Genomic DNA, 15,619 nt, shown 5'->3' on the forward strand with positions numbered 1-15,619 from the left:
AAGCGACCGCAGATATGCTTTACTGCAGCTCAGCTCTTCCCCAGTTTTAAATGCCACCAGAGCCTCAGCCTTCATGTTTATCGCAGACCACGGCTCTTTCATCATAGGAGGGCATTTTTCTTTATTGCACTGTGGTTGACACGTTTGCGTGCAGCTTGATTTAAATGTCCTAGTAAAATCCTAAAAGATGAGACAAAAAATCAGGGCAGGCAGCCGAGGTGAGGCCCCTGGTATCAGCTGGGTTATAGTTCCATGGTTTTAAGGGGGCCCTGGATCCATTTCCCTTCAGTCCAGCCTTCCCTGAGCTGGAATGCTCAGCGACATGAATTGGCCACAGTAGCAGAGGTGGCAGGGGTGCCTGCTGACTTCCCCAGGAGCCGGCAGACAGCCCAGAGGCCCCACGCCTGCCGCTGCCCCATCCCATCATGACCTTCCTGTTATTCTTATGCCTTCAGAGTTTGGAAAGAATAAAATTGCTGTGAGATTCACTTACATAAGAGACAATACCCTGTCAGTCCTTGGTTCTAGCAGGGAGAACGAGACACCCAGGGCACAAAGGAAAGACGGTGAATCACAGAGCCACCACCCGAGGCCAGTGGGACCAGGCGCCCACCCAGGGAGGGATCCCGCGGGGTCAGGACCGCCAGCGAGCAGTGGGCTGCAGCCCAGAGTCCGGCTCAAGCCTTCCTTGCTGAGTGACGTGGGGTCTCATTTCTTCTCAAGAGAATTCAGTTCCTCTCCTCTGTTACCACGTTTTCCATTTCATTGTCTTTCCATCTGACTTTCTGGAAGATTTCGTCAACTTTCTCCACCAAGACTTCTACCGCAGCTGGCTGTTGTTCTGTCTCAGTCTTGGCAAGCGCATCTTTCCAGGGGCTGTTCTTGCTCTCACCTGCGTCCTCGCACGGCACCCTGTTCTGGGTCCGGGAAGGCTCCACCCTCCTGTTCCACAGAGGATGGGAATTCTGGCTTTTTAAGGGTTTTCTTCCTGCTCCGTGTGTTGTGTTCATTTCCTGCAGGGTCAGCTATGTATTTTTCTGCCTCTCTTTCCTTTCTGTAGTGGATTTTCTCAAATACAGGCATGGACAACCCGGGATCACCGGGTATTTTGAAGAATGAAGCAAAGGAAATGCCAGTTGGGGCACAGAGGGGACTGGTGAATGCCAGAAAGAGGACCTCGGGGACACCTTTGCTCGGGGACATCAACAGCCATACATACGGGCTGCTTGGGGGTCTCCCTGTTCATTCCATAAATATCAATCTGCAGGCACAGCATCCTCAACGACGCATTTAATTTCTTTATGGAATAGCTGCCCCCTTCTTGTCTGGCTGGGGGAGATCAAAGTCTGACTGGTGGGAGTTCTGTGTCCCTGGGCAAGGGCAGGTTGGGGATGGAGACAAGTCTATGAGGAGCCGGGCTCAGCCCCCTCCCCAGCCCACGCTGCCCTGCCTGAGGCCACGCCTGCTTGCTGGGGGCTCCACATTGATTCCCTTTTGCTGTCTTGATGCCATGCGAGGTGAGGAGAGAAGCCTGGTGCCCCTAGCCCGGCTGCCTTCGTCAGCTTCCTCCTGGTCTCAGCTGTGCATCCAGAAGTCCTAGGGAGCGTTTTTGGTTCTCATTCAGGCCAGAGGAACTTCCGCCTGCACTCGGGAGAGGTGGGAGCAAACGGGAAGCATGCACTGGGTGGAAGAAGGTGGGTACGCCCGCCCACCCCGGCCCACCCTGGCCTGAGTCTCCTCTTGGGAGCTGAGACCCCCCCGCCCCATCCAGGGTCTGTGCCACCCCAGTGGGTGGGTGCTCTTCAAGCATTGCTAGGACTGAGGTTCAAATCCAAGCTAGGGTCCTGAGAGCATGGAACCCGGGGAATGCCAAGGCATCTCTGGGCCTCAGTTTCCTGAGTTTAAGTTGAGGTTGAGGACAGCAGTGAGAGGATGATGTGCTTGGAGGCCTTTCTGGGGTGTCCAGCTCTGAGCGAATACTTACTGAACAAATGAATGAGGGAGTAGCTCCTGTCGTGCTGCTGAGCTGGCCCAGGGTGAGCTTGGAGCAGTCCAGGTGCTTCTGTAGGTGGTTTCCATGCACTTCTGTGGATGGGTTTACACGGATTAAGTTCAAAACCTTCAAGGCAGCTAACAGATGCCCTAGATCTGCTGGGAGCCTGGGAAAGAGGAGGCTGCCTGGGCGACAAACATGAGCTTGACAGGCTTCGTGAGCCTTGAGGGGTGCCACGCTGGAACTGGGGCTGGCCCCAGAGAGCCACCATCGGCAGGGCTCAAGCTGCCCTGGGAGGGAAGCTATGACCTCGCCACTCCCAGGAGCGGAGCCCGGGCCCAGAGGAGAGCAGGAATTGCTCCTAAGGTCCTGGTGCCATGGAGGGAAGACCTGGATTTGGACTCAAGCCCCCTGGCCCCAGGGCCCAAGCTCCTACTGACTAGACTGGACAAGCAGCCCCACTTCCGCTCCAAACCCGGTGATCTGGGGCAAGCCATGCCCCTCCCGGGCCTCAGATTCCTGGTGCAGGAACAGGCAGGTGTGGGGCTGCTCCATCCTCATGGGACTGACAGCGGGATTCAGTGATCCTGGGGTTTGGTGCAGCACTCGGCACAAAGCAGGCTGTGATGGGTCACGCCTGCTGCCTAGGGGGTGACCTGAGAAGGCCTGGACCCTGCCTGGGCCCAGGAGTGGAGGTGAAACCCAGGCAGCTCCCCAGCCTCCCGCCAGCATCCCCTCGGGGCCTGGGAACAGCACTGCGAGCCGGCCGCACCTGTGCTGGAAATCGCCCTCAGGCTGCCGAGTAATTAGTTCCACGGTTGGATGCAGGCCCGTGCTGTGACTTGAAGTCAGTCGGCGTGGAACACATTTCCCATGTCGAGGCTGGGCCTGACCACCCTTCTCACGGTAAAGGAGGAAGAAAATTGCTTCTTTGATGGCATTTGTGATAGGCTGGAAAGCGCACAGTGGAGTGAGCCAGGAGGCGCTGGCTGGGTTCCCACACTGGCCGCCGTCAGCACCCATCTTGGGAGGGAAAAAGGAGGGACCACCTCGTGTCCCCACGTCCCTGTGCTCCAACCCCAGCCCTCCAACCCCTGTGGCATGGTGCTAGAAGGTCAGGGTGGTGGGGTCTTGATGTCCCAGGGGCAAGTTATCAAACCCGGCCTTTATGGCAGGCACTGAGGTGACAGGACAGGTGGAACCCTCACAGCGGACAGATGCAGGAGGGGGTGTCTCTGTGTGCCCGAGGGCCTGCATCCCTGTGCCCAAGGGACTCATCCACAGCACATGGTGTTGGGCTGAGTCTGTGCCATCTGCCTGGGGCTGTGCAGTGGGAGGTAGCAAAGGCGGGTTCCAACCAGGTCTACCCAACCCGCCCATCCCTTCTGGGGCCCAGCCACCAGGCCCTGCCCTGGCCACACACAGCATCCATGTCAGCTGGGATCTTGGGGTGAAGACCCCCAGGAGGCAGCACCCCTGCCCCAGGCTTGCTTTCCTGGAACGGCTGAAGCTGACTCCTGTGGATGATCTCAGCAACACCCCCAGACCTCACACCAAGCAGCCTGTGTGCTGCACCCACCCTTTCTTGGAGCCCTTCTCTGAGTTCATGCCGTCTTTAGGCCAAGTGCAGACAAGAGAAAAAGCTCATCGGCCTCGCACTGGCCAGTTCTGCTCGCGGCCTTGCCTCCTGGGTCCTTCTCTCTGACCTCTTCCTGGTGGTCTGGAGGCAGCAGCTAACTCCTTGTGCCCCTCACACAACCCCTCAGACACTGCTTCTGTGGCCCCCAGATCAGCTCCACCACAGGGTCGCCCACACCCCACCCCTGTCGATGCTGGAACAACAGATGCCCTGGACCACGTGTGGCCCTGTGTACCACAGGCGGGGGGTCTGGCCAGCAGAACGTGGGCGCCCATGGACAGAATCCTCCCCTCCGCTCTGTGGCACTTCTCAGGGGACAGTCTCTCCCAGGAGGCTGAGCAACCCTTGTACTCACCGGGGCCCAGCTCCATCACCTGCCTGACTGTGGCTCCCTCCCTCCCTGCATCCCAGGCCTGCCCTCCTCTCTCAGAGTTAGCACCAAAGCCTGACGCTCAGGTTCAGCTTTCTGGAGGGCTCAGGCTTTCCCCCTTGACAGAGAGTCCAAATGCCAAGTAGCCCAGCAGAGGGGCTCTCTGGAATTAACACCAAGGCTTACAGCTTCTCCCATAGGGAAGGGAGTCCACTCTCAGCTAATTCCAACCAAGTGGTAAGGAGGAGACGCCAGTGCCTGCAAAGACCCCTGAAAGGTGGTGGGTTCTGAGGCCACACTGGTGATGGGGAAGGGGGATCACCCGGAATAGTGAGCATGCTCACGTTTGCCTTTTCTCTCCCCACAGGAGCAGGGGCTGGGGCTCAGCTGTGGCCGGACACCCACCACGTGCCCATGGGATGCTTCCAGGTCCCCTTCTAGACCAGCAGAAGCCCAGGACACCTGACCGCCACTGGACAAGCACATGGGGTGGGTGCCATGAGGCCAAGTGGGGGCCCAAGATCAGGGGGGTCCCTTGTCAAAAGCCAGGTGGACACCTTTCCAGACGTGTGTGTATGACAGGGTCGGGTCGGAGGCAATGACCATGGTAGGATCACAAGGCAGGCATGGGGGTGATAGCCACTCACCCGAGAGTGTTGTCAGAAATAATCACGGCTATTAGGACGATGTGTTAATTCAACACACAGCTTTGAGTGTCTGCTATGTGCGGGAAACCGACTGTTCTACGTGCTGGGGATAGAGCAGGGAAAAGACCTTTGTGAAGCGGCTGGAACTGTGCTGAGAGTTTCACATGCACGAATTCTCCCAGTGCCCAGATGAAGTGAGGCAGCGCTGGGTGCTGTCTTAGAGTGGACACACCAAGGCCTGGCAGGGTCCCTGTGACTGTGACGTGGCAGGACTCGGACCCCTGCCCAGATCTGCCTGTGTCCAAATCCCCTCTTCATCTCTTGGTTCTGCTGGAGATGCCTGTGGCCATCTTAGTTCTTTGGGCTGAAATGACAAAATACCAAAAACTGGGTGTGTTATTAACAACAAATATTTACTTCTCATGGTTCTGGAGGCTGGGAAGTCCAAGATCAAGCTGCCAACAGGCTGTATGTCTGCTGAGAGCTGCTTCTTGGTTCTTAGATGATGCCTTCTCCCTGTGTCCTCAAATGGTCAAGGGGCAAGGGAGATCTCTGTGGCTTCTTTTATAAGGGCACTGATCCCATTCGGGATGGATCTGCCCCCATGACTTTATCACCTTCCCAAGGCCCCACATCCTAACAGAATCACATTGGGGATTAGGCTTGAACACACGAATTTGGGGGACACAAACATTCAGGCCATTGCAGTTGCTTTTCCTAAGCCTCCAAAACATCCCTCCTCGCACTTTCTGGATGCCTGTCCTGGGTCAGGCTGGCAGAGGCTGTCGCTGGGCATCCCAAGGAGAAAAGCAAAGGGGCTGGTCATGGGGAGGGGGGTGTCCTGGGGTCAGAACAGCAGGAGGCACACATGCACAGAACAGGTGGTCTGATCTGGAAGAATACCTCAAACACTTGCCTCTCTATTCCACACCTTTCAGACAATGATCACTAACATGCCCCCTTCAGGGATAGCACCAGCTCTTACATCTAAAGGAGGTACAGTGCTCAGGTGCGAGCAGGAAGGACCTCAGTCCTCCAGTGCGGATGCTGCTGCCCCTGCTGGGCACTGGCCGAGCCAAACAGTTGGGCCATGACCCAAAGCCTCGTGGTCTGTGAGATGCCCAGTGGCAGGATGCTGCCATGCAGGGGAAACATAGGAAATAATAAGGAAAGTATATGTGCGTTGAATTGTGTCCCCCCAACAAAATAATTTCAAATCCTTATCCCTAGTACCTGTGAATGTGACCTTATTTGGAAACAGGTTCTCTAAAGATGTTATCAAGTTGAGATAAGGTCATCCTGGAGTAGGGTGGGCCATAAATCCAATAGCATGGATATTTGCATATAGAGACAAGGAGAAAACACACACAGGAAAGAAATCCATGTAAAGATAAAGGCAGAAGTTAGAGGGGTCCATCTACAAGCCAAGGAACACCAAGGGCTGCTGCCATGGTAGGAGCCATAGAGGGGAGAAAGGAATGCACCCTCACAGCCTCCAGAAGAATCCAGCCCTGCTGACACCTCAGTCTCAGACTTCTGGCCTCATGAACTGTGAGAGATACAATTTCTGTTGTTTTACGTGCTCCAATTTGTGATAAGCTGTTAGGGCAGCTCTAGAAACAAATACACATTTGCAGGGAAGTGCAAGCCGAGTGGGCCCCACTGCAGAGCATCATGGGTCAGAGACTTCTGCTTTGGTGGCTTTGCCGGCTTTGCCATTGTTGAATACAGGTAATCAATTTATCATTTGATAAAACTTTTTAACTTTGCAGTGAATCCTTTCAGTACAATAAGCTTTAAAAAGTACAAAATTAAAAATGTTGCTGTTTTTAACACAAAATTCTATGCCATTTATTTCTCAGTGATGATGAATATGTGTAAGCTGCATGAAATGTTTATTGACATGGACCATTCACTGTGGAGCCATGGTGATAATCCTGAACTTATAAAAAGTAGAAGACACAAATTTGCTGAAAATGTACCAGCATCTACTTTAAAAAGTTAGTTGTTATTCATAAAAAACTGTGACCAAAAATCATAATGTAACACATGCAGATACAGAAGGCACATTTACATATATTCTATGAAGCATGACTTTTTATTTAGATCAATTCATTCTTGTTCTAAATTAATTTTGCTCACTTCAAATTCTAAGCATCCGTGTGCACACATGAAGAATGAGGCCCTAGCTGCTCACGTGTGGGTTCCAGTAACAGAAGAAGGGCTTCACAGACCTTCTGAGAGGCCAGCTCTTCAATTACTCAACCAGCACCATGAGATGCTGTGAACAGCAAACCCACTACGTTAATTCCAATAAAGGATTCCAATTTTCAAAATTTAATTTATGGAATCAAAGCAGGGCCTTGAGAAATTTATCCTCTTGGAAGTGAAACATCGGATATTATTGTAGATGCAGTTCAGTCAAACAATTCAACATTGAGATAAAGTTAGTTGTTTTGCAGTGATAATACAAATACAAAGTTTGGTGGAGTACAGCACTATGGTAAGTTTCTTGCTAAACTAAGAAGCCTCAGGACATGTCTTAGTCCATTTTGTGCTGCTATTACAGAACATGTGGACTGGGTAATTTTTAGAGAACAGGGATTTATTTCTTATAGTTCTAGAGGCTGGGAGATCCAAGGGACCGGCATCTGTTGAGGGCCTTCTTGCTACATCATCCCTTAGTGGAAACTGAAGAGCAAAAGAGCGTATGAGAGAGAGAGAGAAGGGGAGAGGGTCAAACTCATCCTTTCATCAGGTGCCCACTCTCTTAATAAGAGCATTAATTCATTCATGAGGGCAATGCCCTTGTGATGTAACCTAGCACATGAACTTTGGGGAACACATTCAAACCACAGCAGGATGGAAACCAGGAGTTGGTTGTGGTGCAAATAGAATCCACAATTTTGTCAAACAAGGTATGATAGTCTACCAACTGAAATAGATGTCACAGCCATCAAGTTTTTGAATTATGTATATTTATATATATCATTTTATGCATGTGTAAATTTGTGTGTGTGTGTGTGTGTGTGGAGAGAGAGAGAGACAGAGAGCGAGTCAGTCCTCCATATCTTCATATCTTCGAATGTGGAACCTGCAGATATAGAGGTCTGACTATAAAGGACTTGAGTACCCTTGAATTTTGGTATCTACCAGAGACAGAGGGGCTAGAACCAATCCCCTGTGGACACTGAGGAATGTCCATATATGTATGTATGTATGCATGTATGCATTTATTTAAGGCTCTCCAAAGAAACAGAAGCAACAGTAGATAGATAGATAGATAGATAGATAGACAGACAGATAGATAGATAGGGGTGTGTGTGTGTGTGTGTATGTGTGTGTGTGTGTGTATGTGTGTGTGTGTGTGTGTAGAGAGAGAGATTTATTATGGAATTGGCTCAAGTGATTATGGAGGCTGAGAAGCATTACAATCTGTGTCTGCAAGCTGCAGACACAGGAAAGTTGTGGATTTAATTTATTTTGAGAAAGAAGTCCTGAGAACTAGGGTACTGATGTTAACATCTCCAGGGGCAGAAGAAGATTAAATGAGTTTTCCCAGATCAAGCATTGAGGCAGGAAGATAGGGGCAAATTTCTCCTTCCTCCACCTTTTGTTCTATTCAGGCTCTCGACAGATTGGATAATGCCCACCCACACTGGGGAGGGAAATCTACTTTACTGAATTCACCAACTCAAATGCTAATCCAATCTGGACACACCCTCAGACACACCCAGAAACAATGGTTAATCCGGACACCCTGTGGCCCATTCAAACTGACACTATAGACACACACACACACACACACACACACACACACACACGGAATGATTGAACTATAAATGTTTTATGGTTACACTGATGTTGTATAAATATACATATCATGGAAATAAATCTCTCCCCTTATTACCTATCATAAATTTAATTTTAGGAATATGTGAGTTCTGTAAATCAACCTAAATATCCTGCAATGCTATCAATGATATATTATAAAAAACATTTTGAAATCTTTGCTTAAAATGTTAACTAATTGGAGTGTCAAAGGACTTAAGCAAGTACAATTATTGAAAACAAAGCCATAATTGGAAGGCATTGAAACTTAACTAACTAAAAGAAAGAAAAAGACTTTAGTTTCAATCATGATGAAGTAGCTTCTATTTCTCTGATTCTCCTGCCAGTAACAATCATAAAAGCTAAAAAAATTGTTTTTCTAATTAACTAATTTAAGATACTGAGAAGAAACTGGAAGGGATATAATTATTGAAATATGGGAGAGTAAAGTGGAAATGTCAAACTCTTCGGAGGAAAAGCATGCCTTCCTCTATAATTTTTTACCCACAGACAAGAAAATCAGACTCACTGGTGATTCAGATATCAGAGTTAGCAGATAAGGTTTTAAAAATAACTATGATTAATATGTTAAGTGCCAGGGAGAGATATACAAAATGGAAGACAGAGAATTTCAACAGGGATTAAAATCTATAAAAGAAGTCAAACAGACATTCTAGAGCAGAAAAAAACACAATATCCAAAATCAGAAAGCCATTCAATGGATTTAAAAATAGCCTGGACACTGCTGAAAACAGAGTTGGTAGACTTGAAGATAAGTTAATAGAAAATATCCGAGATAAAACAGAGAAATAAAAGAAAAAAGGTAAAGAGCCAAACAGAACATGAAAGATGTGGAATAATAGTAGATGGTCTAGTGGAAGCCAGATAATAATGCAATGATATTTTTAAATAAAGGGGTGGAGGGGGGATCCTGCCAACCTAGAAATCTATATTCAGAAAAAAAATTCAAAAATGAAGGTAAAAATAACAACACTTTCAGACAAACAAAGGCAAAGAGAATGAATTGCCATCAGACCATACGTCAAGAAACAGTAAAGGAAATTCTTCAGATTGCAGGAACACAATTCTAACTGGAAATTGGAATTGCAAAAGGAACACAGAGCTGGAGAAAGATAAAATATGTGTACAAATATGAGAGATGTTAATTGTGCAAAGCAACAATAGCAACTATGTTTGCCAAGCTTGTAAAACACATGATATGGTTTGGCTGTGTCCCTACCCAAATCTCATCTTGAATTGTGGCTCCCATAATCCCCACATGCCATGGGAGGGACCCGGTGGGAGGTAATTGAATCATGGGGGCGGGTTTTCCCATGCTGTTCTCCTGACAGTGAGTAAGTCTCATGAGATCTGATGGTTTTATAAAAGGCAATTCCCCTGCACATGCTCTCTAGCCTGCCACCATGTAAGACATGCCCTTGCTCCTCCTTCACCTTCCACCATGATTGTAAGGCCTCCCCAGCCATGTGGAACTGTAAGTTCATTAAACCTCTTTTTCTTTATAAATTACCCAGTCTCGGGTATTTCTTCATAGCAGTATGAAAATGGGCTAATACAATACATAGTAGCAAAAGGACAGAAGGGAATGAATGGAATTACATTCCTGTAAGATTCTTCTTTTGTCAGATCTGGTACCAAGAAGCAGATGTTTTTTTAAAAACTGAGACTTGCAGAGATGTATTGGGGATACACCTGTGAAAGACACAGGGGAGGACAAGGGGGTTGGGTGCGTAGAATCTTCAGACCATCATGCTGGTCTGACACCTGTGAAAGAAGAGAGGAGAGGAGGAAGGACTGGACAGGAAGAGCCTCAGACTGTGGTCTCAGCCAGTTTGCAAGGGAGCCCCAGCAAAGATTGTCTGTCAAAGGAACCCTGTTGGCAGGAACAAGCTAGCATTGCACTCCTACCATGCTCCATGATTGACTGAGAACAGCCCGGGGAGGGGAACAAAGCCTTGGCATGACACTATGGTGTGTCTGCAGGTGCACAGCTAGAACCTATCCACCAGCTACTTTCCTGACAGTGGGTTCTCTGAGCACCCTGAGAACCCTCAGAGCACCACGGCCATCACACTTGTGTTACTCTGAGTGTAATAAAAGCAGTACTTCCAGGTAGATCTAGTAAATCAAGGATGCTTACTGCAATCTCTAGGCAACATCTAAAAGAAAAATACAAAAATGCACATTTAAATGTCCAACAAAATTCAATAACTACAATAGCACTTTATTAATTAAAAAAAGGAAGAGAACAAAACAGATGGGACAAATGGAAAGCAAATAGTTAGACTTTATTGGTAATTGTGTTAAATGTAAATGGAATAAAATTAAAGAAGAAATCGAACACATTAACTTGGTGAAAGCTCTAGCCATGTATGAGCTTTAATTTTCAAATTGTATGGCTTTGCTTTAGTATATCTCAATTTGTGGGAAAAATCTTTCGAGGGAGCACCTATTTTTAATTGGATAAATTTATACTCTGTACCAGAATGGAATTAAATTGAGAAGTCTTACAGTTTTGCATGATCTAAATATGGTGAGAGATTCAAAAGAACCATAAATAGACACAATTTATTTGACAAGTTTTATCCTATCTTTGCCAAAAAAAATGTACTCTGAATGGAGGCATAAAGATAGTATCTATGGAAACATTTGGCCTGAAATATTTACACACTTATATATGAGAAATAGAATTAAGATTATCCTCCACTTAGCAGAAATTCTGCTGCACTTACTTGATACCTCAGCACGGTTAGAGAGAATGTTTTCTCTAACATACGATGGGCAGCAGAGAAGAGTCCATTGAAGGTGTCTATCATTTTAAATTTATTAATGATAAAGCAAAAATTTAAAGAAGATTGTAATTTTATGAAGAGATTAAAAAGATGAGAGATAAACTATGAATTTCATGAAAAGAGAAATGGCTAAGTAGCAGATTCAAATATAGTATATGAATATATATCAAGAATAATCTGTTTGGCTATTTTTTCAGTGTTCAGATATCCAATATAAAGATTATTTTGCTTTGATGAACATGAAAATACATTATTTTTAATAGGAATGTTATTTTTGAAATTTATTTATTCACGGAGCTATTTTATGGATTCAGTAATGTAATGTAATCAATTTGCTGGTTAATAAATACATATTTCAAACATTACATATTTTTATCATTTCTACTGTCCTCTTTACGCTGAGGACTGTCCTGTTTGAACAGTGGTTACTGTGCCTTATGTCCCTGGAGACCCAGCAACCAAAGCTCCATGGGCCACTGGAATGGCAGAGGCAGATGTAGATGAGCTGACCTCATCTACATCTACACGGGCAGTGTCACCATGGCGAGGCTGCCCATCTCAGCCACAGCACCACGTCATTAGAAAAAGCAATTAGAAATGAAGTCAGGGTGACTGAGGCAGGTCTGCCCCATGCACATCGGCAGGCTGGAATAAGATCCCTTCTTGGAAAGCTCTGGTCATGATGCAGGATTGCACCCACTCCAGCCCCCAAGAGTGTTTCTGCAATTGGAAAGGCCAGTGTGGCCAGGCAGGATGACAGGGTGTCATGAAGGTTGCTGCGGTTGCAGCCAGAAAGCACCACAGTGACATATGGGATCTTGCCTGTAAGCTCTACAAGATTTACTAGATCTTGTTTCTTTATTATCAAAACCCAGCACCTCAAGGTATTTATAAAGAAGGCAAGTCAAAGGTAAAGAGATGCATTACCAAGAATCTGTGATTCCAGAGGTCAAAGTTCATCTTATCACTCACAAGTTCCTCTATTATTTGAAAAGGTTACTCACCCTACTTGGAATATCAAGCAGCAGTTGATTGGGTTTACAGCATTTTCTACCTTTACCCTTTGCAAACTGTCTGGATGCAAATGTCAAGATTGAAATGCCCAATAACTTGGATCTCTGGATCCAACAAACAAGAACGTAGTGCGATATTTTTAAATTCTGACTTGAATTAAAGTGATGGATGGGTCCTCTTAGCATGAACATGTGGTTATCCTTTCTCCCTTCACTTTCCCTTTCTAATAAATATCTCCAGCGTTGGGGAAGAGGAAAAACACCTTGATATTACCTACTGCTCCCATGAGTAGTCATTGGCTATGCTAGCTTGTATTTATTCTATATCAACAGAGCCACTGTTGTTAAAAATAGCCTGAGGAAATCAGTTAAGATCTAAGCATTCACGTGACTGAAAAGCCAAGGATCAGGCCATCGAGCTACTTTAATTTAGTTGCTGTGCTTGAATTTTCATGTTGTAAAAGTGTTATTGGTAGGTTGGTTCAGGTTCTTGAGTTTGTCACAAAAAGAATTTGAGAGCAAGTTCAAAGTAAGAGTAGGCAAAGAAGTTTATTGCAAAGCAAAGGTACACTCTGAGAGGCAGGGTGGACCTCTCAAAGGGAGAGACAGCAGCCAGTGCCTTAAGAGGAATTCCCCTTATGGGAGCTGTGTATGAATATTCATAAAACACTGGTGAGGTCAGGTGTGCAAAGGCGGACCTGCGGCTAGCGCATGTGCTCAGAATCTACATGATCTAACACGTATTCCATGCATAATTAGCATATGAAATCTCCACCTGTGGATGTGTTTGGACTACTAAAATGAAGAAAAGGTCACTATAAGCTAAACCTTGAGCCTAGCACATGAGGGACCCTGGAGAAGTCCCTGGCCACCCCCCACAAGGCAAGAATTTATAGCTAATAGCTTCTTGGGCTTTTGGTGGTGATTGGCTGGAGATTGAGGAAGCTACATCAGGAAAAAGGGGTTTTGTTCTCTTTCCTGGGCCAGGGATCAGGAACAGGTAACCATCTGGCAGGCGGCTGGTATCCTGCAAGAGCGCTTACCTTGCAAAAGAGTCAGGTGCTGATGCATGAAGGTGCAGGGAAGAGTCTTCCAGGCTTCCCACAGGGAGACCCGTCAGTATGGCCTCCTACCCTTACTCCTGCCTCATTAGTCGTGTTGGGAATTTAACCCCACAGGGTTCCTGCTGAAACCACTTGAGGCTAGATCTCTGTGTCCTCAGTGCCTAGGGACACGGACGTTGGAGGGAATACTTGATGTCCAGCACGAGGATGGCCTCAGGAGAGCAGGATTACCTCCTGGGGGTGTGCCACAGCCAGCCTCTGTGTGGTCTTTGTCCCATGGCACCAGGCCACATTTCTCTAGGGCTTCCAAGTCTTGGACAGGTCGATTTTTTTCTAAAAGAGAAAGTCATTGTTGTATTTTTGGAATTTCAACAGTTGTAGACATTAAGGACAGTGGAGTATGTAAAATTGCACCTGCAGGCCCCTGGCCCTGGAGCACAGTGTGAAAGGCAGGTCTGAGATTCAGAGACTGGGCCCCTCACCAGGCTCAATTCTCAGAGCAGCGCTTTCTCACCCCGCCCCAGATCCTGGGGGCAGCGCCACAAGGCCCAGACTGAAATTCACTTTATCTGTGAGCAGCAGGAAGCTGTGAGCCTCCGTTTCCTGGCCTGGAAAGTGAAGGAGTGGAACAGGGTGACCTCTGAAGTCCTTCCCAGGAGGCAGCGTCGTGGGAAGTCCAGGAGGTGGGGGACAGGTTCACTCAGCAGTGCCCACCCCCACTTTCTCACTTTGGGAGGCAGAACCAAGGAATCAGGGGGTCTGGCCAGGCCTCAAGTGCGCCGGATGCAGGAGAGAACAATGATAAAAGAAAAGAACATCCTGGAGAAGGGGAGAAAGAGAACGCAGAGCAAGCATCTAACAACGTGTCTCTCAAACACAGGCTCCAAAGAGCAGACCAGTGCCCTCCAGGCTGATGGCAAGACCTGAGGGTGGGATTGTGCCCCACCATCTTTGCTGCTTCTTGGCACCCAGCACCCTGCCAGCATCTTATTTTATAAACATCCCCTTACATTCTTAAGGGAGACTATTAAAACCTGAAGTTCACGGAAGTTGGACCAGGGCAGTCACAGGCTCAGGGACTGCTGGACATGAAGGGGACAGGGAAGCACCGAGCACTCTTCCTCCCGGGCATGGAGCCCTCCAGGCCCCGCTGACTCCTGCTGAAGCTCCACCAACCACCCGCAGACGGGGACTCCGAAGCTATTACCCACGACCAGCACTTGGCACACATTGTCACTGAGATGACTGACACACGGCTCAGGCAGCTCGTAGGTTCTGTTGAATGCCCACTCCCCAGGGGAGAAGGGCAGCGTTTCAGGTCATCCCCAGGCTGGCCTGCAGAGCGTGTGAGCTATGAGGCAGAATTCGAACAGACTGTGGGCCAGCAAGTGTTCACTGTTAATTCTGTGGTTTCTCTTCGGTAAGAATTCTCTACCATATAATCCCACCTAGTATCATTCTGTTTCCTCATGCATAGTAGGGGAGGATACAGTGTGGATGTTTTTTTAAAAAGCACGAGGCCCCAGGAGGCAGCCTGGACACCCACTCACACTCGCCGACTGCTCCCTTCATGGATGAAGAGGAAGCTGAGAGCCGCAGATGGAAGCTTCCTCCTCCCGTGTGCAGCGTTCTGCATACTGGAGGCAGAGGACCTGGACTGACAGCTATGAGGACCTGGACTGACAGCTATGAGGACCTGGACTGAGCAGCTATGAGCACCTGGACTGACAGCTGTGAGGACCTGGACTAAACGGCTATGAGGACCTGGACTAAACGGCTATGAGGACCTGGACTGAACAGCTATGAGCACCTGACTGAGCAGCTATGAGGACCTGGACTGAGCAGCTATGAGGACCTGGACTGAGCAGCTATGAGGACCTGGAATGAGCAGCTATGAGCACCTGGACTGAGCAGCTATGAGGACCTGGACTGAGCAGCTATGAACCTTGAGCAGGGAATGTCTCTGTGCCTCAGTTTCCTTACTTGTAAAACAAGGAAGTGGAACCAGAGCCCCCCCCATTCTTGCTCATGCACTCCCACGGTCCTGGACAATACTGAGCAATCTACAGATATCAACGTAGCATAATTTGAGCCTCCTTGTTTTTCTAAAATGGGAAGATTTTAACTGAGAAGCAGCCTTTTCAAGAATACCATAGTTACTCTATTGCATACTGGAACTCCAGCTGCATTCTATTACATCAGTATTATATAATACCTCTTTCTCTCTTAAAAAAAAATAAAAAAAGTCC

The 15,619-nt window shown here is 47.7% G+C and overlaps 1 long non-coding RNA gene across 1 annotated transcript in view; it reads left to right on the forward strand.

Moving 5' to 3' along the window:
• Positions 1 to 15,619, forward strand: part of LOC150935 (uncharacterized) — a 37,805-nt gene that overhangs the window by 13,075 nt on the left and 9,111 nt on the right. The window contains exon 2 of the long non-coding RNA NR_037808.1: positions 4,370 to 4,491. This is a non-coding gene — a long non-coding RNA (uncharacterized LOC150935). The remainder of the gene's footprint in view (positions 1 to 4,369; positions 4,492 to 15,619) is intronic.

The sequence above is a fragment of the Homo sapiens genome, chromosome 2, assembly GCF_000001405.40.
Source record: "Homo sapiens chromosome 2, GRCh38.p14 Primary Assembly".
Taxonomy (NCBI): domain Eukaryota; kingdom Metazoa; phylum Chordata; class Mammalia; order Primates; family Hominidae; genus Homo; species Homo sapiens.